At 37.3% G+C, this 21,720-nt stretch overlaps 1 long non-coding RNA gene across 1 annotated transcript in view; it reads left to right on the top strand.

Moving 5' to 3' along the window:
• Window positions 1-21,720, top strand: part of LINC01924 (long intergenic non-protein coding RNA 1924) — a 319,511-nt gene that overhangs the window by 180,758 nt on the left and 117,033 nt on the right. Inside the window, exons 4-5 of the long non-coding RNA NR_033881.1 lie at window positions 2,947-3,044; window positions 9,079-9,267. This is a non-coding gene — a long non-coding RNA (long intergenic non-protein coding RNA 1924). The remainder of the gene's footprint in view (window positions 1-2,946; window positions 3,045-9,078; window positions 9,268-21,720) is intronic.

The following is a 21,720-nucleotide window of genomic DNA, read 5'->3' on the forward strand; positions in this document are numbered from 1 at the left end:
GTATAACAAATCTGAAGTTATTAAAATCTCCAGCAACAAGAGAATGGGAATACTAAATTTGTGTATTTTTGTCTTTACACATTACTGGGCTTCATGTATATCTGACATGCACTATTTCCTTACAAAAGAGGAAAAAAGTATAAAAAATGTTGATTTAATAAATCTTGATTGTAAGCACTTGGGTGCTTATTTTGTCTATATTTTCTGTATGCTTGGAATACTTCATAATGAAAAATAGAATGCTGTAAGAAAAGAGTACATTTATCCTCATTGATTTGGTACTCACTGCTGCTGTGAGAGCCTTCCAGAAGCCCTTCTGTGTTACATTTGTACAAAGTATGGTGTAAAGTACTAACTCAGGGCAGGGATTTTCTATAGTAGACAGTAGAGCCATACACTTATCTCTACTTGAAATATATTATTGTTGTAGAGTTTTATTTGTAAAGCAATTAAAAGTTTTTGTTTTCTTAATGCTCAAATTCTTCTGGGGCCACAAAACAGCTAACTCGATTAAAGGTAAAACATCTGCAGCCTTAAGATCAGACCCAAGGCCAAAGCAGGGGTTGGAGGCCACTCATGTAAGAAATCTGGGGATAAAAGTCAAGGGATTTTAGCCTGAATCAGCAACAATAACAGTGTTGTTTTGAAAATAGAGAAGACTTGATCTTATTTTTAGGCAAAAATAACATCAATTCCAAGAAAAGCTCCATCTGTCAGAAGTATGTTTATTAATGCATTAACCAAAAAAATGCTTGGAAAATATTCTTGCCAATAAAAATTTAAATTAAAATATTTACAGAAAAATAAGTGAGAACATGTTTTATTTTTGAAGGAGACAAAGTTCCGTAAGAAAGAGAAACAATTTGTTCACTCTACTTACTTTGCATGCTAATAAATATTGAATTACATAAGTAAATTCCAGTAAAAATAACATAAATCCAAACCTAACATTGTCATTGAAATCAATTTGAGTCAAATATCTGCTTGGACAGCTGGCATATAACGGAATAAACATTTACTTCGAATTGTCACAAGCACATTGGTTTTTATTTAGTTAACTCCTCAATAAGTGATTCAGAAATAAAGTTCCCTTGTGTGGGCCAGCGAGGAAATGGTATGGCACCATGGGGACTGCTGAGGGCACTCTGGGCAGCAATAAAGGCAATTGCAGATGACAGGATGCAGATAGAAAACCCAATCCATATTTTTATGGAAACTAAGTCCCTCAGAAAACAATACTATTTTTGCTTTTGTTATTTTAGCATCTTGTAGAAGATGTATATGTATAACTGTGGTCAATAATAACCACCTTAGTTTCACAGTAAAGATGGCCACATAATAATGTACACATGGCTGGAAAAGGAAAACATTTGGTATGACAACGAGGCTTTTCTCTAAACAATGACAAATCATGGATGTGGTTTTTAAAAATCTTAATTGGGAAATTATTTGCCTAAATGGAACCATTACTTTAGTACAATATATGCAACCATAGAAGAAATAAAAGACCAAAAGGAAAATGGTCTCCTACACTCAGAGTATCAGGGAGGAGGCAATCATTTATTTTACACCCAGCATGTGTGAGGAAATGAGCCAGTTGCTTTATAGGCAGCATCACATTTACTCTTTATGGCAACTATATAAGATGTGTGCTGTTTTCCCTATTTAAAAGTTGAAAAAACTGGAGTGATATCTAATATGCTGTTTAACATCATGTAGTTTGCAAGTAATGGAGCTGTGGAACTGAGAGAGGAAGTCAGGACTAAACCTAAAGCCCACTGTATTAGTCAAGGCTCTCTAGAGGGACAGAACTAACAGGATACATATACAGACAGGAGAGGACTGGCAACGGAGTTCATAATCATACCTATGTGATGAAACCCTATATATATATATAGGGTTAACTTACACAATCACAAGGTCCCACAATAGGCTGTCTGCAAGACGAGAAGCAAGGAGAGCCAGTTCGAGTCCCAAAATTGAAGAACTTGGAGTTCGATGTTTGAGGGCAGGAAGCATCCAGCTTGGGAGATAGATGTAGGCTGGGAGGCTAGGCCAGTCTGGTCTTTTCACAGTTTTCCTGCCTGCTTTAAATTCTAGCCATGCTGGCAGCTGATTAGATGGTGCCCACCCAGTTAAGGGTGGGTTTGCCTTTCCCAGCCCACTGACTCCAATGTTAATCTCCTTTGGCAACACCCTGGCAGACACACCCAGAAACAATACTTTGCATCCTTCAATCCAATCAAGTTGACACTTAGTCCCTGTTCTCACACCTATATGGTCCCTGTTCTCTTCTCCATCTTATTTCTTTTGGTTTTTACTTTGTATAATGTTCAGAATGTATGTACTTTTTTTTTTTTTTTTTTTTTTTTTTTGAGACGGAGTCTCGCTCTGTCGCCCAGGCTGGAGTGCAGTGGCGGGATCTCGGCTCACTGCAAGCTCCGCCTCCCGGGTTCACACCATTCTCCTGCCTCAGCCTCCCAAGTAGCTGGGACTACAGGCGCCCGCCACTACGCCCGGCTAATTTTTTGTATTTTTAGTAGAGACGGGGTTTCACCGTTTTAGCCGGGATGGTCTCGATCTCCTGACCTCGTGATCCGCCCGCCTCAGCCTCCCAAAGTGCTGGGATTACAGGCGTGAGCCACCGCGCCCGGCCCAGAATGTATGTACTTTTAAAAAAACTTTGGTCATAACTTTTAATTACAGGTATGTGGTATTCTCATTGTTATTATTTTTTGAAAGGCTATTTTTTAAAAAAACCATTCAGCATACTCTTAGCCAACAATGGCATTAACTACCTTTGTCATCTTACATGTTTATAAATAATGATTCATGTGTATTTCCTGGATAATGCTTGATAAGCATTGTTTTAAGCTTTTTACATGTATTCTGTGTATTATTTGCAATAACCTTTCAGGTAAATGCTCTTATTTTCTCATTTTACAGATAAGGAAATTGAGGCTCAGTGTTGGCAGGTAACATGTTCAAGATCTTGAAACTAGCAGGTGGCAGAGCTGGGGTTCATCTGTCTCCATGTGCTCAGAGTAAGTATAGCCTGTTTAAATTGCATTGATTTTCACAGTTTTTGTAACTAACAAAGTGGAATATGTTTTTATGTTTAAAAAAAAAACCTGTTGACCGTTTATCATTCCCCCTTAATAACTTGCTTGTTGATATCTGCATCCTTTTTTTTCTGTGTAAAAAATGGCCCCAAATCTCAGCAGCTTAAAATCACAGGCTTTTCTTGTTGCTCATGAATCTGTGGGTTGGCTCGGGTTGAGTGTGTCTAGGCTGGACCTGGTTGTGTGCTTTGTTTTGGACCATGGCCATGGAACACTCCTGCTTCCCTCTGCAGGACGGTGGGTTGGTTGGCACTGGGTCCGGTAAATCTGTCTCATGTGTCTCATCCTCCTTAGCCTGGGGAACTGGATAGGTGTGAAATAAGAAGTATTTTTTATATTGGTCTCTTCCCCCAGATCCTGGCACAGAGCTTCTAAAGCCCTTGTAATTTCCTGGGCTATAGAGATGGAAGGAGAATCTTTTCTTCTAATATTTGGTCTTTGATCCCAATTCCTGACACACAACCACTAAATCCCTTGGTATTTCCTGGGTGATGCAAGTGTCTTATGTTCTAATGAGGTGACTCTTGGTGGGCTCCTGGATGGGAGCTGGTTGCCAGAAAGACCAAGGCAAGACTGGAGGCTTAGAACTTTCAACCCCAGCCCCCATTCTCTAGAGACAGGAGAGGACTGGTGACTGAGTTAATAATCAATCATATCTATGTGATGAAACGCCATAAAAATCTCAAAAGTACAAGGTTCAGAGCACATCCATGTGGCAAACACATCCCTATGCTGGGAGGGTGATGCACCCCAATTCCATGGAGACAGAAGCTCCTGCACTCAGGACCCTTCCAGACCTCACCCTAACATATCTCTTTATCTGAATGTTCATCCATGTCTTAGAACGTTTATGGTACTGTAAAGGAATACATGAGCTGGATAATGTATAAAGAAAAGAGGTTTATTTGGCTTACAGTTCTGTAGGCTGTACAAAAAACACAGCCCCAATATTTGCTTCTGATGAGGGCCTCAAGAAGCTTCCACTCATGGTGAAAGGCGAAGCAGAGCCAGCATGTGCAGAGGTCACATGGCAGAAGAGAGAGAAAGCAAAAGAGAGGGGAGGGTGGTGCCAAAGTCTTATTAACAACCAGCTTTTGGGGAAACTTATAGAGCAAGAACTCACTCACTGCCTCCCTACCCCACCAAGGGAGGGCATTAATCTGTTCATGAGGGATCTGGCCCCCCACCATCATTCACACACCCTATTGGGCACCATTTCTTTTTCTTTTTTTTTCGTTTTTTTTAATCAATAGAACTTTAGATATCTCTTTTTTTTAAATTTTATTATTATTATACTTTAAGTTTTAGGGTACATGTGCACAACGTGTAGGTTTGTTACATATGTATACATGTGCCATGTTGGTGTGCTGCACCCAGCAACTTGTCATTTAGCATTAGGTATACCTCCTAATTCTATCCCTCCCCCCTCCCCCTACCCCAAAACAGTCCCTGGTGTGTGATGTTCCTTCCCCTTCCTGTGTCCATGTGTTCTCATTGTTCAATTCCCACCTATGAGTGAGAACATGTGGTGTTTGGTTTTTTGTCCTTGTGACAGTTTGCTGAGAATGATGGTTTCCAGCTTCCTCCATGTCCCTACAAAGGACATGAACTCATCCTTTTATATGGCTGCATAGTATTCCATGGTGTATATGTGCCACATTTTCTTAATCCAGTCTATCATTGTTGGACATTTGGGTTGGTTCCAAGTCTTTGCTATTGTGAATAGTGCCGCAATAAACATATGTGTGCATGTGTCTTTATAGCAGCATGATTTATATTCCTTTGGGTATATACCCAGTAATGGGATTGCTGGGTCAAATGGTATTTCTAGTTCTAGATCCCTGAGGAATCGCCACACTGATTTCCACAATGGTTGAACTAGTTTACAGTCCTACCAACAGTGTAAAAGTGTTCCTATTTCTCCACATCCTCTCCAGCACCTGTTGTTTCCTGAGTTTTAATGATGGCCATTCTAACTGGTGTGAGATGGTATCTCATCGTGGTTTTGATTTGCATTTCTCTGATGGCCAGTGATGATGAGCATTTTTTCATGTGTTTTTTGGCTGCATAAATGTCTTCTTTTGAGAAGTGTCTGTTCATATCTTTCACCCACTTTTTGATGGGGTTGTTTGTTTTTTTCTTGTAAATTTGTTTGAGTTCATTGTAGATTCTGGATATTAGCCCTTTGTCAGATGAGTAGGTTGCAAAAATTTTCTCCCATTCTGTAGGTTGCCTGTTCACTCTGATGGTAGTTTCTTTTGCTGTGCAGAAGCTCTTTAATTAGATCCCATTTGTCAATTTTGGCTTTTGTTGCCATTGCTTTTGGTGTTTTAGACATGAAGTCCTTGCCCATGCCTATGTCCTGAATGGTATTGCCTAGGTTTTCTTCTAGGGATTTTATGGTTTTAGGTCTAACATTTAAGTCTTTAATCCACCTTGAATTAATTTTTGTATAAGGTGTAAGGAAGGGATCCAGTTTCAGCTTTCTACATATGGCTAGCCAGTTTTCCCAGCACCATTTATTAAATAGGGAATCCTTTCCCCATTTCTTGTTTTTGTCAGGTTTGTCAAAAATCAGATAGTTGTAGATATGTGGCATTATTTCTGAGGGCTCAGTTCTGTTCCATTGGTCTATATCTCTGTTTTGGTACCAGTACTATGCTGTTTTGGTTACTGTAGCCTTGTAGTATAGTTTGAAGTCAGGTAGTGTGATGCCCCCAGCTTTGTTCTTTTTGCTTAGGATTGACTTGGCTATGCGGGCTCTTTTTTGGTTCCATATGAACTTTAAAATAGTTTTTTCCAATTCTGTGAAGAAAGTCATTGGTAGCTTGATGGGGAAGGCATTGAATCTATAAATTACCTTGGGCAGTATGACCATTTTCACCATATTGATTCTTCCTACCTATTAGGCACCATTTCTAACGTTAGGATTTTTTTTCCCTTAAATTTATTTTTACAGAGAGCATCTTGCTTTGTCTCTCAGGCTGGAGTGCAGTGGTGGGATGACAGCTCACTGTAACCTCAAACTGCTAGGCTCAAACAATCCTCCCACTTCAGCCTCCAGAGCAGCTAGGACTACAGAAGCACACCCCCATGCCCAGCTAATTTATTTATTTTTATTATTCTTCTTAGAGACAGAGTCTCACACTGTCACCCAGGCTGGAGTGCACTGGTGTGAACACAGCTCATTGTAGCCCTGACCTCCTGGGCTCAAGTGATCTTCCTGCCTCAGCCCCCCAGTTAGCTGGAACTACAGGTGCATGCTACCATACCTTGCTGTTTTATAGTTTTTTTGTAGAAACGGCGTTTTGCATGTTTCCCAGGCTGGTCTCAAACTCCTGGCCTCAAGTGACCCATCCACCTTTGCCTCCCAAAGCACTGGGATCAGAGAGATGAGCCACTGTGCCTGGCCAGGAATCAAATTTTAACATGAGATATGGATGTGTCAAATATTCGAACCATAGCAAATTGTATCCTTTATCATGTCCTTTACTAAGATAAAAAACTGGTAAAAACAAAAACAAAAAAAAACAAGTGAGTTCTGTGAGCTGCTCTAACAAATTAACTGAACCCAAGAATGGGGTCATGGAAACCTCTGATTTGTTATACAAGTGAGGCAGAGTTGTGGGTAAGCAGGGAACCTACTTCTTGTGATTTGTAGTTGAAATTGTGGCAGAGGGGCAGTCATATGAGATTGAGCCTTTAACCTGTGGGTGTCTGCACAACTCAGATTAGTGTTGGAATTGAATCAAACTGGGACACCCAGTTGGTATCTCAAAATTATTTGATGTGGAGAAAAATCCCCACACATATGGCCACAGAAGTATTCTGCAGCGAATGTTGAACATATAGGAGGGGAAGCTGTTTGTTTTTTCTCTCTATACACCAAGGCATGGTCTACTCATGGCAGTAACAGAAGCAAAATAGAACAGAAGAAACCAAACAAGGCCACTGCGATCAACGCCCCAATAACATATTGTCACTTCTGCCTTTTTTTATTGGCCAAAGCAAGCCACAGAAACAGTCTATAGTGTTCCCCACCTGAGTCTCAGTGCTCATGTGGGAGACTGTTCCTGTTCTGTCTTCAGTCCTGGATGACCAGACCATTTTCTACCTTCTATTCTTTTATTCCTTTTCATTTCAGTTCAGTTCAATTCTGATCAACGTAATTGCATTGAGCCCCTACTATGCACCCCAGCCCACTCTGCAGGGAGCACTGGGAATACAACACACAAAAACAAACTCAGAAGCTTCCCTCTAATATGCCTCGACGGGTCATGGTAATATAATGCAGCCACTGTTATAATCAGAGAGCATGTGGGGTGCAATGGGAACATCCAGATGGGCGCTCAGCACGGGTTGGGAACAGAGCAGCCTTTGGGAAGCGACTTTGTAGAGACTTTAAGGAGTTTGAGTTAGCAAGGTGAAAATAAAAAGTGAAAAGATTTTCTAGGCACAAGAAACTGTGAGTAAAGAAGATGGCCATGGAATAATCTGCAGCATGGCAGGAATGAAAGATAATTCATGATCATTAAAACATGAATCAGAAAATAAATTGGTTACAATGTTCTGTTTCCTCCGTCTTGATGGCCATGAAGAAAAAAACAAAAAAATCCACAAAACCACCCAACCTGAAATGGTTCCATGGGTAACAGGGAGAAAAATATATTATAATATACGACAATAAAAATAATAAAACAACCTTACCCCTTCTCCTCTCTCTGAGGAGTATCCTGACATTCCCCACTTGAAATTCCCCCTTTCTCCTGGTTCTACCCTCATTATGTAACAGAGGGCAGTAACCAAGGTGGTGAGAACTGGTAAGAGAGTGAAATCAAGATCCAGGAAGCTTGGAGAAGTAACAAACAGGAAAGCAGCTGGTGTAGATGAGGGCTTTGGAGAGTTTCAGAGGTGGGATGTGGCTGTGAGATAATTAGAGTTCTGAGGAATAACTGCCCTCCATGTGGCAAGGGCAGCCATGGGGCTGGGATTTTCAATGAGGTTTTATGGTATATTATTCATGTCTCCCCTGTCCAACTACTCATTAGAATGTTTTTGTAAGATTACAAAAAAAAAAAAATAGAGTTTTCTTCTAGACTGCTGTTCCTAGTAATACAACTCTTTCTTATATTTCCAGATACATATTTTTGTATATATTTAAAATGATTAGGAGTGGTTGTATGAAAATCTAGTTTCCACATTTTCGCCAAGTAATACTGCTATTCTTTACTACTATGGGAATGTCCATTCAAGAGTCAAGTTCTTTTTCAGAAGTAGGTTAAAAAAAGTTTCCAATAATTTTAGCAAATATTTCTGATTTGTCTTCAAAGTTGATTAAAAGAAATGTATCTAAGTCATCAAAATGCTTTGTACATCAGAACCTAAAAGAGAAGGAAAGACATTCCCCTCCCTATAGATATAAATACCAATCCACATATTTGAGCTCAATTCTGCTTCAATGAACTGAAAATTGCATATACTATGTTGAATTGCATTCGAAGCGTTGAATCATTTTCTCAACATCAATACATCTTCAAAGAAACTGACATGGGAAAAAATCAGACTTTTGAAAGTCATTGAATTTCAATCAGCAATTCATTACACAAATTTCAAATGTGGGAGCAATTATGTCTAAGTTTTCTTGGAATTGAGTTTTATCAGAGAAGTACAAATGATTATATATAGGCTTCAACTATCTCATGGCCTTTAAGGAAACTTAATCCCCGTCTGAAGTATTCATATTTAGTTCTGACTGCTACTCTTCCTGTGGACTTCCTGAAGGAACTATTCCTCCCTCTTCACAGACACAAACCCTTTCACTACTTGTCTGTTCTTCTTAATATTTTAAAGGGAATATGTGATTTATCAGTTGCATGTATTTCAAAGTTAATTTCAATAACATTCCTGTGAAATCTAATAACTACCTTTTTTCCATTTGCTCTTCATATTTGTATAGATTCTGAGAGGAATTGCTGAAAAGGATGGGGACTCTGAGCTACATATGCATAGCATTGATTTCAGTGAGAAAACTACATATTTTTGACCATATGAAAAAAAATCTGTTCTTGAATTTTGATGATATTTGCATAGTTTTTAAATTACCTCTGGCAGAAAAATTATGTCAAAGATGAACCTAAACAAAAGGGTGAGTGGCATGTAATTAAATATCACGTGGGAGTGAAGGATTGTCTAGAAAGTCAGCCCAAACATTTATGGCTTTGTGGGGTATGTGCTAATTTTGTATCTAACCCAGGAATCTCACCACTCCATAAATACTCAAGCTTCTAAAACACACTTTGAACCAGTCATAACATCTTACTGCTCTCCATCAATGATGAGTTAAATAAATTTTTTTACATGTGATCATTTTGTATTTGTGTGAGAGACATGATTTTTTTTTCCTGAAAATTATACTTAAACTTTCCAATTCCCCAAGACAGTCAGAATCCTTGATAATAAAGATAAGACAAAGATAATGATCCAAATAAAATTTTCTGCGAAAAAGAAGATTTAAAATTGAGTGGAAATTTTAGATCAGTCCATGAACAGGTAGAGTATTAATATGTAAGCAAGAGAATTTGGTCCGATCTGAGCATTGTCAGTAACAAATTTTTTAAGTTTTAAGAAGTAATTTAATTATTCCAGAATTTCTCATTTCTTTAAAAAGGAAGCTATCTAATACATGGAGTTCTGCATTTCAAGGAATGAAATTACCTTGCTCAAATAGAGGCATATATATGTAAATATAAAGCATAGTGGAAGTGGAACTTGATGGGCAGTAAGTAAAATGCTAAAAATAAAGGAACGAAAGTGTGTTTTTCAAAGTGAGTTCTAATTTGTTGGATGCCGTCTTTAAATGCTTAAGATACAAAAACAAACTCAAAGGGAAAACAAAAGTAAATTGTGACAGTTATCTTCCATTTTTAAAGATTTTAATTTAACTTTCAAATAACATGAAAACTTTTCCCAGATAATAGTTTATCTTTTTCACAGAAGTTTGATATTGCAGCAATAAGTCTGTGAAAGAAGCTTTTCTATTTGACCAAAAATTAATTTTATTTCCTATGTATCTTTGGCAATAAGAGGACACCTCATGATTTGTGGACATTATGTCATGTGTTTTGTGACGTTTGATAAGAACATGACACTAGGCTTGGTGAACATTTAAGGTAGTTTCCATTCGGATGCATAGCCCACGGGGTGAATTCCTGATGCACAGGGCTAGTGTATGAGATCACCTCAGCAATGTGTAATTAGTGTGTTTCAATAAACAGCATGTCTCCTTGTGAAGCACGGGGAATTGAAAGCACCCATGATTTAAATTATTTATTTCTGCCTTTATTATTTTATTACTATTAGTCTTTTAAAGATATAAATCACAAGTGATTTATATATAAAACCACTCTACTTTTAAATTTTTATTTCTGCTTTTATTATTTGATTACCACTAGTCTTTTAAAAAATATAAAAGTAGAGTGGTCATTTGCATATTCTTAGATTTACTAGTATTATAACGTACTTGCGTCAAGCAAGTTATGTTTCAAGAAAAATGTTCAGGCCGGGTGCAGTGGCTCACGCCTGTAGTCCCAGCACTTTGGGAGGCCGAGGCGGGTGGATCACGAGGTCAGGAGATCGAGATCATCCTGGCTAACACGGTGAAACCCCATCGCTACTAAAAATACAAAAAATTAGCCTCTACTAAAATTACAAAAAATTAGCCGGGCATGGTGGCAGGCACCTGTAGTCCCAGCTACTCGGGAGGCTGAGGCAGAAGAATGGCGTGAACCTGGGAGGTGGAGCTTGCAGTGAGCCGAGATCGCGCCACTGCACTTCAGCCTGGGCGACAGAGGAAGACTCTGTCTCAAAAAAAAAAAAAAAAAAAAAAGAATAAAAATGTTCATTCTATTCTTGAGTGTCTGAAAATACCTCTCTGTTACATTCATGCATGAAAAATCATCTGGCTGGGATAGGATTTTTTACCTCTAAATTGAATGTGTGGTGTGATGGCCTGCTGGCATTATATGTTATAAAGAAGTATTAAGCAACAAATGTTTTGAAAACTGCTGTGGCAGCACTATTGATCTAGATGTAAGAGACTTAGAGCATAGGTAATTTTGAATGCCTGTTTTTTCAAATAAGTTTTTTGGCCAGGCGTGGTGGCTCATGCCTGCAATCCCAGCACTTTGGGAGGCCGAGGCGGGTGAATCACTTGAGGTCAGAAGTTCGAGACCAGCCTGGCCAACATGGTGAAATCCCGTCTCTACGAAAAATACCAAAAAGTTAGTTGGGCATAGTGGCGGGTGCCTGTAATCCCAGCTACTCAGGAGGCTGAGACAGGAGAATCACTTGAACCCGGGAGGCAGAGATTGCTTTGAGCCGAGATGCACCACTGCACTCCAGCCTGGGCAACAAGAGCGAAACTCCATCTCAAAAATAAAATAAGTTTTTCATTTGTTGAATGAAACAGTTGTGCTAAATGATCCCTAAAGAACATTTCAATTTCCAAATTTTATATTTTATGACCATATTTTATGTGGCTCCAGAATGCATTGCAAATCATAGGTATTAAGTAGATGTTTAGTAAATAATGAATAGATATTGAGGAGAAGTTCTTCTTTGGGAAGACCTGTGTTTTGCTCTGCCCATTTGATTGTTGCGTAGAATTATTTTCTTTTGGGGTAGAGAGAGATTACATTGTATTTTCTCTTTCTTTTAAAATTTTATTTCATTGTGGTAAGAACATTTAACATAAGATCTACTCTCCAAGAAGTTAAGTTCATGATACACTATTGTTAACAATAGGTACAATGATCTACAGCAGATCTCTAGAGCTTATTTATCTTGCTTAACTAAAACTTTGTGCCCATTAATTAATAAGTCCTCATTTCCCCCTCTAGCCCTTGGCAACTACCATTCCACACTTTGATTCTATGAATTTGACTATATATGATAATTCCCGTAAGTGGAATCATGCAGTTTGTCCTTCTGTGGCAAGCTTATTTCACTCAGCATGTCCTCAAGGTTCATCATGCTGTTATTATTTCAGAACTCTTTTTGTAAGACTAAATAGTATTTCCTTATGTTTATATACAACATTTTCTTTATCAATTTATCCATGTATGGTTTTTTATACATCTTCGCTATGGTAAATACTGCTGCAATAAATACTGCTGCAATAAATACTGCTGCAAGATCAATTAAGATCTTGGTTTTAATACTTTTAGATAGATGCAAATAAGTAAGATTGCCGGATCATATGGTAGCTCTATTTTTAATTTTTTTGAGGAACATCCATATTATTTTCCACAGGGGCTGCACTATTTTGTATTCCCACCAACGGTGTCCAAGGATTCTAATTTTTGTACATTCTTGTCAACACTTTTTTTCTCTTTTTTTGATAACAGCCATTCTGACATGTGTGAAGTAATATCTCATTGTGTTTTCAATTTGCATTTCCATGATGACTAACGGTGTTTTTCATTTGTCTCCTGGCCATTAGCATGTCTTTAGAAAAATGTCTATATATGTCTTTAGCCCATTTTTTAATTGAGTTATTAACTTTATTATTGACATTATGGGAATTTCTTATATATTTCAAAGATTAACCCCTTATCAGATACATAGTTTTCAAATATTTTCTCCCATTCTGTAGGTTGCTTTTTCAATCTCTTGATTATTTTGCAAATAGCTAAATCAAGCTTGAGAAGCAAGGACAAATCTGAAGGAATTACACTGCCTGATTTCAAACTATAATAGAAATCTATAGTAATCAAAACATTGTGATACTAGCATAGAGATGGACATATGGACCAATGGAACAGGATAAAGAGTGCAGAAATAAACCCACATTTATATGGTGAACTGATCTTCAACAAGGATGCCAAGAATACACAATGGAGAAAGAATAGTCTCTTCAACAAATGGTGTTAGGAAAACTGGATATCCACACGCAGAAGAATGAAATTTGATTCTTATCTTACACCATACACAAAAACTAACTCAAAATGGATTGAAGACTTAAATGTAAAACCTCTACAAGAAAAGCCAGAGAAACACTCTGTGACATTGGTCTTGGCAATAATGTCATAGATATGACACCAAAAGCACAGACAACACAACCAAAATAAGCAGGACTACATCATACTAGAAAGTTTCTGCATGGCAAAGGAAATAATCAACAGAATGCATGGCAGAATTTCATCTTTTAAAATCAAAAGATCATAATCTTGTGCTTTGAAATGCAGGAGCATCAAACTGTATAAGAAATGCATACTGATGTTAAAATATGGGCCAATGTATTTCAATGTATGAGGAATACTTTTGGAAAATTCTTATCAATATTCAGGAGACTTTATTTTTTGATAACATATAGATTAAATTTAAAAAAATGAAATAAAACTGAAAACCACTTGTGTTTTCTCTTCCTCCAACTTATACACTAGATAAGGGCATGTCATTAGGCAGTTGAGGTAAACTCCAATTCTGCCACTTAAAAATAAGACTAACTTCTCTGAACCTTTGTTTCTTCCTCTATGATCTAGAGATAAGAAAACCTGCTTGTGATTAATATACATTCAGATGAAGACTAAAAGGTGGGCGGATCACGAGGTCAGGAGATAGAGACAATCCTGGCTAACACGGTGAAACCCCTTCTCTAGTAAAAATACAAAAAATTAGCCGGGCATGGTGGCGGGCGCCTGTAGTCCCAGCTACTCGGGAGGCTGAGGCAGGAGAATGGTGTGAACCAGGCAGGCGGAGCTTGCAGTGAGCCGAGATCGCGCCACTGCACTCCAGCCTGGGCGACAAAGCGAGACTCCATCTCAAAAAAAAAAAAAAAAAAAGGCAGCATCAGGTAAATATTAGGAATATAAGAGGTACTTAATAATTACATATACAAATTCGGTAAGGGGATAGCAGAGGTATTATCATCAACATCTAATAGATTAAAAAATGGAAATCACAAGTGGTTTTGAGATTTTCAGAAAAAATGTTATAATAATATAAAACCCCGACAATGACTGGAGCACAGGTTTCTTGACTCCAAGGCTCGAATGCTTCATTTTCCTATAAAGTATGGGAGGTTACTGTTGGGTATAGGCCGGTATTTTTAACCTTTATTTGTTCAAATGTGTTCAGATGTCACAAGAGAGATTTTGGCTATCAAATTGAAGTGAAAGTTCAATACTTTTATCATTATAATTGCATTTTATTCTGGAGAGTGTAAAACATACTTATAAAAATAGAATAATCACATATTTGAACTCATAAAGAGCAAGGTCAAAGCAGAATACCAAATATTTTGAGTCAAATATTAACAATATATCAAAAGCTAAGATAAATAGGAGAAATATTTAAAGCAACAAATAATATACAGGAAATTCTTTCATGAATATGCTTCTATATAGAAAATTAAAGTAGATGGCATAAATTTTACATGCTCAACAAAAAAGTAAACCTAAATGGAAATCTTTTATAGCCTACAGATTTTAAAAATAAAGAAGCAACTTAGGTTACATCTAAAAAATAAATAATACACATAAAAGAACAAAGCAAAAAATGTACAAACCTGGCCCAAGGTACTTTGTCTAACAGTAAAAGACTTCATTTTAGAAAATATAAAAATCTCTCTCATTTTTTAAATTCTTGGTTTCTTTGGGATTTTATGTGTAATCTGTTACTAGTTACAAAGTCCCCCCAAACAATGATAATAACAATAATAAAAACCCTTGACGAAAATTATACATTGAAAAATTTTATAAGTACGTACCTCCAATACATATTTTGCTGGGGAGGTAGATTTAAGTTTATATAGCCTGTACATTGTTGTGAACACAAATAACAACAAGGCTGAAGTGAAGCAACAAATCTGTCTTACAAGATCACAAATAAAACATAAACAGTAGGAGGTCTCATAGCTATTTAAGGAACTTCATGGGCTTTGCAAGCCTTTCCACATGAATCGTGGTGTTTTGTCTCCCAAATGCTCTAAAATTATTTTTAAAATGTTGGCAACTTCACAAATGTTTTATTAACAAAATATACTTTAAGTATATGCTATTTTGTGAAGCAGCAATTGGATGACTTTTCTTATAAGCGTCCATAAACAGTTGGAACTTATTGCCAATTAAAGACAGAAAAAGTGCCTGAGTCAAGGATATGATGATGTTACTCACATAGGTACTACTACAAGAGATTAAGTTATATCACTTTGAAAAGCCCATGTGCTAAAGCTATGTTAAATCTGTCAACTGGGCACAGTGTAGAGAGTGAAAAGAATTCTGTGTTAATAGCCTGGGATGCAGGGTCAAATTTTCCTTGGCTGTACTGCCCGTATAACCTTAAGCAGGACGGTTAAGGTTTCAAGGGAACTGTTTTGGTTACCTGAAAGGCAACCCCCCAGATAATCCCTTGAGGTGTCTTTGCTGTTTTGCTCTGTGATTCTATCGTTTTGCTCTCATTTTCCTAGTCTGAAGGATTAGACATTTCCTAACTTAGAAAGCATGGAACATCTGCTGTACACCTTCCTTTGTTTTGTCTTTGGGTTATCTTTCATGTCTGTGAGTAACCAAGTCCAAAGTATTTTATATGTGGAAGAGAGATCTCTATGCCATCTTTTTGGTTCCCAGAAAATGCCTAGGAACCCAGGTGCTGGAAAAAACAAAAATCACATGAAAAGCTATTTTACAATACAGTAAGAATTTCTACTTCAAGTTGGGTTTATGACATGCCAGTCCATAATCTACAAGCAGAGAAGATGATGAAATAAGCCTTACAGATGGATTCTACCAAGAAAACTCTGAAGTTGCCATTGGAAAGCAAAAGATACATTATGAGGCAGGTTCCACAATTATAAATTAGATGGAAACCACTCTTCTCCAGTCTTAGAAAGAACTACAATGTGAGAAGCTCAGATTTATAAATGATCAAGTTTATGAATAAAATATAAAATTTTTGTCCTTTCAAATAGATAGTTATTACACAGCTATAAGCCTTGGTAAACATTTAATTTATTTAATATAAGATTCTTTTAAAAATTTGAAGATGACAAAGATAACTTTAAATTCCTTTAATAATTAGATAATAGAATCTATGAGCTAGAAAAAACTTCATAAAGCATTCTGAAGTACGAATTGATAAATTTTAGAGCTTGTTCAGGTTGTAATATTCATCTTATTTCAAAATTTCCTGCACACCCTCAGTGTTGCTGCTATTGAATAACATTTCAGACTTTTGCCTAATAAAATTTTTTCTTAGCAAGATTTTTGTTCTGCTATTGGGCTCAAATTCTGTATGATCCAGTATGATTAGTTCCTTGTATCTTTATTTAGGTGACTTGCAAAAGAGCTAGTTGATATGTTCTGTGGACCAAACCTTTATAAATCTGAAGACCATAATGAAAATTAATGAAAATAGTGTGCCTTCATGTGTTCCTTACACCTGAATGCAACAAAATGCACATATTTTCCCATTATCCAAGTAGCTTTTTTTTTTTTTTTTTTTGAGACAGAGTCTTGCTCTGTTGCCCAGGCTGGAGTGCAGTGGCACTATCTCAGTTCACTGCAGCCTTCGCCTCCCAGGTTGAAGCAATTCTCCTGCCTCAGCCTTTCGAGTAGCTGGGATTACAGGCACATGCCACCATGCCCAGCTAATTTTTATATTTTTGGTAGAGACGAGTTTTCACCGTGTTGGCCAGGCTGGTCTGGAACTCCTGACCTCAGGTGTTCCTCATGCTTTGGCCTCCCAAAGTGCTGGAATTACAGGTGTGAGCCACCGTGCCCAGCCGCAAGTAGTTCTTGAAGAGAGAAATCGTGCAGAAAAAAAAAAAAAAAGATGACTTTTGAGAGTGAAATGAATGGTTATTGGTCATCAGCTGTTGTAAATGGAGCAAAGGGTGAGAGAAAAATAATAGATTTGCCATTTGACTCATATAAGAATGCAGCTATTGCATATCAGAGAGACATATTACAAAATCAAATCCAAATGTTTGGTAAATATAGAAGGGACATAGTGGCATGGAAGTGTGTTGCTAAGTGAAATTAACTGAGTGTTCAGCACACAGTGCTAAGAATTGGGCTGTGATGTCAGATTGCTTTCACTCAAATCCTTATTCCACTATTTATTAATTATAGAATCTTTGGTAAAATAGTGTAGTCATCCTTTTATCTGAGGTTTAGCTTTCCATGGTTTCAGTTACTTGCAATCAGCATGGTCCTAAAATATTAACTAGAAAATTCTATAAAGAAACATTTTCTAACTTTTAAATTACATTCCATTCTGAGTATTATGATGAAATCTCATACTATCTTGCTCTGTCTTACCCAGGACGCAAATCACTCCTTCATCCAGTATATCCACACCATAGATGCACCCCTTCTGTCAGTCACTTGGTAGTCCTCTGGGTTATCAGATTGACTTGTAGAGCATCACAGTGCTTGTGTTAAAGTAACTCTTATTTTACTTCATAATGGTTCCAAAGTGCAAGAGTGGTGATGCTGGCAAATCGGATATGCCAAGGAGAAGCAGTAAAGTGTTCCTCTAAGTACAAATGTGAGTTCTCAATAGAGAAAAAAAGTTATATGCTGAAGTTGCTAAGATCTATAATAAGAACAAATCGTCTATCGATAATATTGTGAAGAACGAAAAGAAATTTGTGCTAGTTTTGCTGTCACACCTCAAACTGCAAAACTTGTGGCCAAAGTAAGCAATAAGTAGTTAAGATGAAAAAGGGATTCTATTTGTGGGTAGAAGACATGAACAGACAAAAATCTCAATTGATGGCAATGTGTTGCACCAGAAAGCATCGAGCCTTTATGGAAACTTTAGCAAAGGATCCCCTGAAACAAGTGACGCCAAGCCATTTACTGCAAGCAAAGGATGGTTACACTGATTCAGGAATACAGAAGGTCAATAGTAGCCTAATGCTATGTCACAATGCCTGTCATTCACTTCACTTCCTCTCATCACCTAGGCAATACATCACCTCATATCATCCTAAGAAGAAGGATGGGGGTAGTACAATAAGATATTTTAAGAGAGAAAGGCATAGAGAGTAAGAGAGAAACAGAACACATTCGTGTAACTTTTATTGTAGTACATTGTTATAATTGTTCCATTATATTATTTATTGTTAATAACCTCTTGCTGTGCCTAATTTATAAATTAAACTTTAACATAGATATGTATGTATAGGAAAAGACATACATAGGGTTTAGTCGTATCTGTTGTTTCATGCATCCACTGGGGATCTTGGTGCATATTCCCCTCAGATAAGGGGGAAACTACTGTAATATGAATTTTAAGACTCAGTTTCCTTATGTGCATAATGGAGATAATAATATATACCTCATAAATGAGACAACGCATATAAATTGCTTCATACCATGCTGGGCACAAAGTAAAAGCCCAAGAGATATTAGCGTAGCCAAGAACACTCTAAGTGCTTTATCTCATGTATCCTCAGCAATACAGTGAGTTAGGTACTATTGTCATCCTCCCCATATTATCAGTGAGGAAACCAGGCCAGCGAGAGATTAAGAACTTGCTCAAGGTAACAACAATAGCCCTTGGAGGGGTTTAGATTCTAATCCATCATTCTAGGTACATATTTATCATTACTGTGTGGCACACAGAAGCCACATACTCAAATGCCTGCAACAGCCTGTTGATAAGACAAATAACTGAAATAACCAGTACAAGTCAATAGAAAATGGGTGCTTTCACTTTTTACATTTTTTGATACTGTGCTGGTCTGGCAAAGAAATTTCTGAGGCCAAATTTAGTCTGCAGCTTATTTGCAGTCCCTGCACATCCAAGTATCTGAAGGTAAATTTACACCGTGGTTAGGCTGGCGTTTGCATACTAATGGAATGGTTGGTTTTCCTCCATTTCTTGGCCCCTAAGTGTCCATAAGTGTGGAAAATAAAGGAAAGAAAATCTTAGCACTGAGTAAGTGATATGGAACATTCACTTTCCAGGGAGTACTTATTGTCTCTTCTTTAGTAATGAGTGGGATCCTTCTTTATTTTAATATGCTTGATCAACTGTATAACACAGAGGCAGGCATTTTGCAAGTCTTCAAAGGTGGAATGGATGTGTGACTGTTCAAAAATAACTTAATGAGAAGCAGAATGAATAGATTTATTTTTGGAGTGACTGACTGAGGGGTTTTCCCAGTACCTCTGAAAACACATCAAGTTCTAATAGGATTTTAGAGAAAGTTAATTGGAGACTTAGAATCACTGCACTGGATTGTGGACCTTATTCTTCTTTGAGTCATTTTGTGAGTGAAGACAAATTTCTTAACATCTTTGGTCTATTTCCTCAGCTATAATTAAAATGGTCTGAAGAGGATTGTCTTTAGATTTTCTTCGATTCTAAAATGTCTCTATGTCCATGCTTTTACCTTAATCTTCATCCTTTATCAAAATTCACTTTATGGTGACAAGTACACTTTTGGGTGCCTTTGGTATAAATCAAGTTGTGAGAGTTAAAAATTTAGAAGAAATAATTTAAATTGTGACATTTTATCAAGCTTGATCAAATCCTGAAATACATCTGTTCTGAGTGTTGTGTTGTGCTGACTCATTTAAAATATTCTAGGTAAGTAATATGATGTGTAAATATATGGAAAAATTAACCATAATCTGTATTAAAAATGTAGCCTATTTTGTTGATTTATAGAATTATGTTTAAAGACAGGTGGCATGATCTTTTAGGAGTTAAACAACAGATCTACCGCCCACGAATGAATACTGTGCAAAACCCACCAAGTTCAACAGTCCTTACTCTATTCTGTTAGTTCAGTCCTTGAGGTCAAGAACTTGTTTTGCACAGTATTCATCTGAGAGCAGTTGATTTGTTGTTTAGCTCCTAAAAGATCATGCCAACTTTCTTTAAACATTAAAGACAGGTGGCATGATGTACATTTGGTGTGGTGTGTGGTGCTGTACGTTTCCGCTTCTGGAATGACCCTATTTCCTTTCCCACTTAACTAAACGGCTTGCTCAGCTTGCCTAAAGAACTTGGTGGTGCCCGTTTTGAACCAGCCTTCATAGAAGGTGTTAGTTACATCAGAGAACAATGAAGAAGACCTTTTCTGAACTGCAAATAGGCTGCAGCACTGTGGCTATTTGCTAATAAAGGGTTTTAGATTAGTGCTGTTACTAATTTAGTGTGATTATTTTGCACAAGACTTGCTTTCATTGTCAAACACCATCTTACAGCAGTGATATGAGAGTGAGGCATATTGCTGTGAAGTACAGCCACTGAAGGCTAATAATATTTACCGAAGGTTCTGACCATCAAATTGGGTTAAGTCAGTTTAAGACAGTGACAAAATCAAATACATTACCTGGAGAATTCAGAGACGCATATGACCACTTGAGATTAGAATCAAGGGAAATAGAAGCTAGATCTTTCCTTGGGTAGATAAATAAGATAAGCTGCTGTCAATGATATAAAAAGAAGATAAAGAAAGATATACATTAAAGAATTAATGTGAGTATCCTTTTTCCTGACTCATTCAGGGTAGGGTGGGACCCAATGAGGTTGTTGTAATAGATCTGAGCAGGCTGAAATAGAGATATTGTGGCCTTCTATGTTATTCTTAATTTCTTAATTATTCTTGATTAATTTAAATGATATATTTGTGAAGTTAAGTTCTCAATTCATTCATGTATTTAAAAATATATGTTGTGTCCTTTTCTAAGGTCTAGGGATCAGAAATTAATAAAACAGACAAAAATCCCTGACCTCATTGACCATGTACTTTAATATGGCTATGAAGGCAAAACATACATACCTAATATGTTAGATGGTGATGAGTGTTACAGAGAAAAATAAAGCAAAGAGAGAAGGTAGGGAGTGTTGTGGGAAGGGGTAGCTGCACATAGTTTTAAGCAGTATAGTCAGGGAAGAGCTAACTGCTACACTGACATTTGAGCAGAGGTCTGATGAACGTGAGAGAACAAGCTTTGTGAATGAGGGGTGTTCCAAGAAGAAATAGCTTGTGCGCAGTGAAGGCACAGATGAGGAATCTCAGTAGCAAGTCCTGTATAGCTGGAGCTGAGTGAGAGGGGAAGGGTCATAGGAGATTAGGTGGAGATGGGGGACCAAATTGTGTGGAAACTTGTAGATGCTTTTGATGATTTTGGATTTTATTTTGCATGAAAAGGGAACCTATTAGATTATTTTGAGCAGAGGAGTGAGCTATTTCCATTCATATTTAACAAAGGCATTCTGGTTGTTAGATTGTGAATAAATAGATGGAAGGGGGGTAAGGGCAGAAGCAGGGAGATTAGTCTAGGAGCCTGTAGTGGTTCACCTGGAAAATCATGATCATGGTGGCCCAGACCAAGGAGCAATGGAGGGTGTGAGAAAAGGTTGGACACTATGTATATTTAGAGGGCGAAGTTGTGAGGATGGGTTGACAGATTAGATGTGGTCTGTGCAAGAGTGAAAGGAGCTAAAGATGACTCCAAAAGCTGTTGTCAGAGCACATGCAAGGTTGGAATTGCTGTTATGTAAATAAGGAGGAAACTTTAGGAGAATCAGATCTTGGGGGAAGCTCAAGAGCTTAGTTTTCAACATATTAAGTTGG

Source organism: Homo sapiens, chromosome 18 (assembly GCF_000001405.40).
Source record: "Homo sapiens chromosome 18, GRCh38.p14 Primary Assembly".
Lineage (NCBI taxonomy): Eukaryota > Metazoa > Chordata > Mammalia > Primates > Hominidae > Homo > Homo sapiens.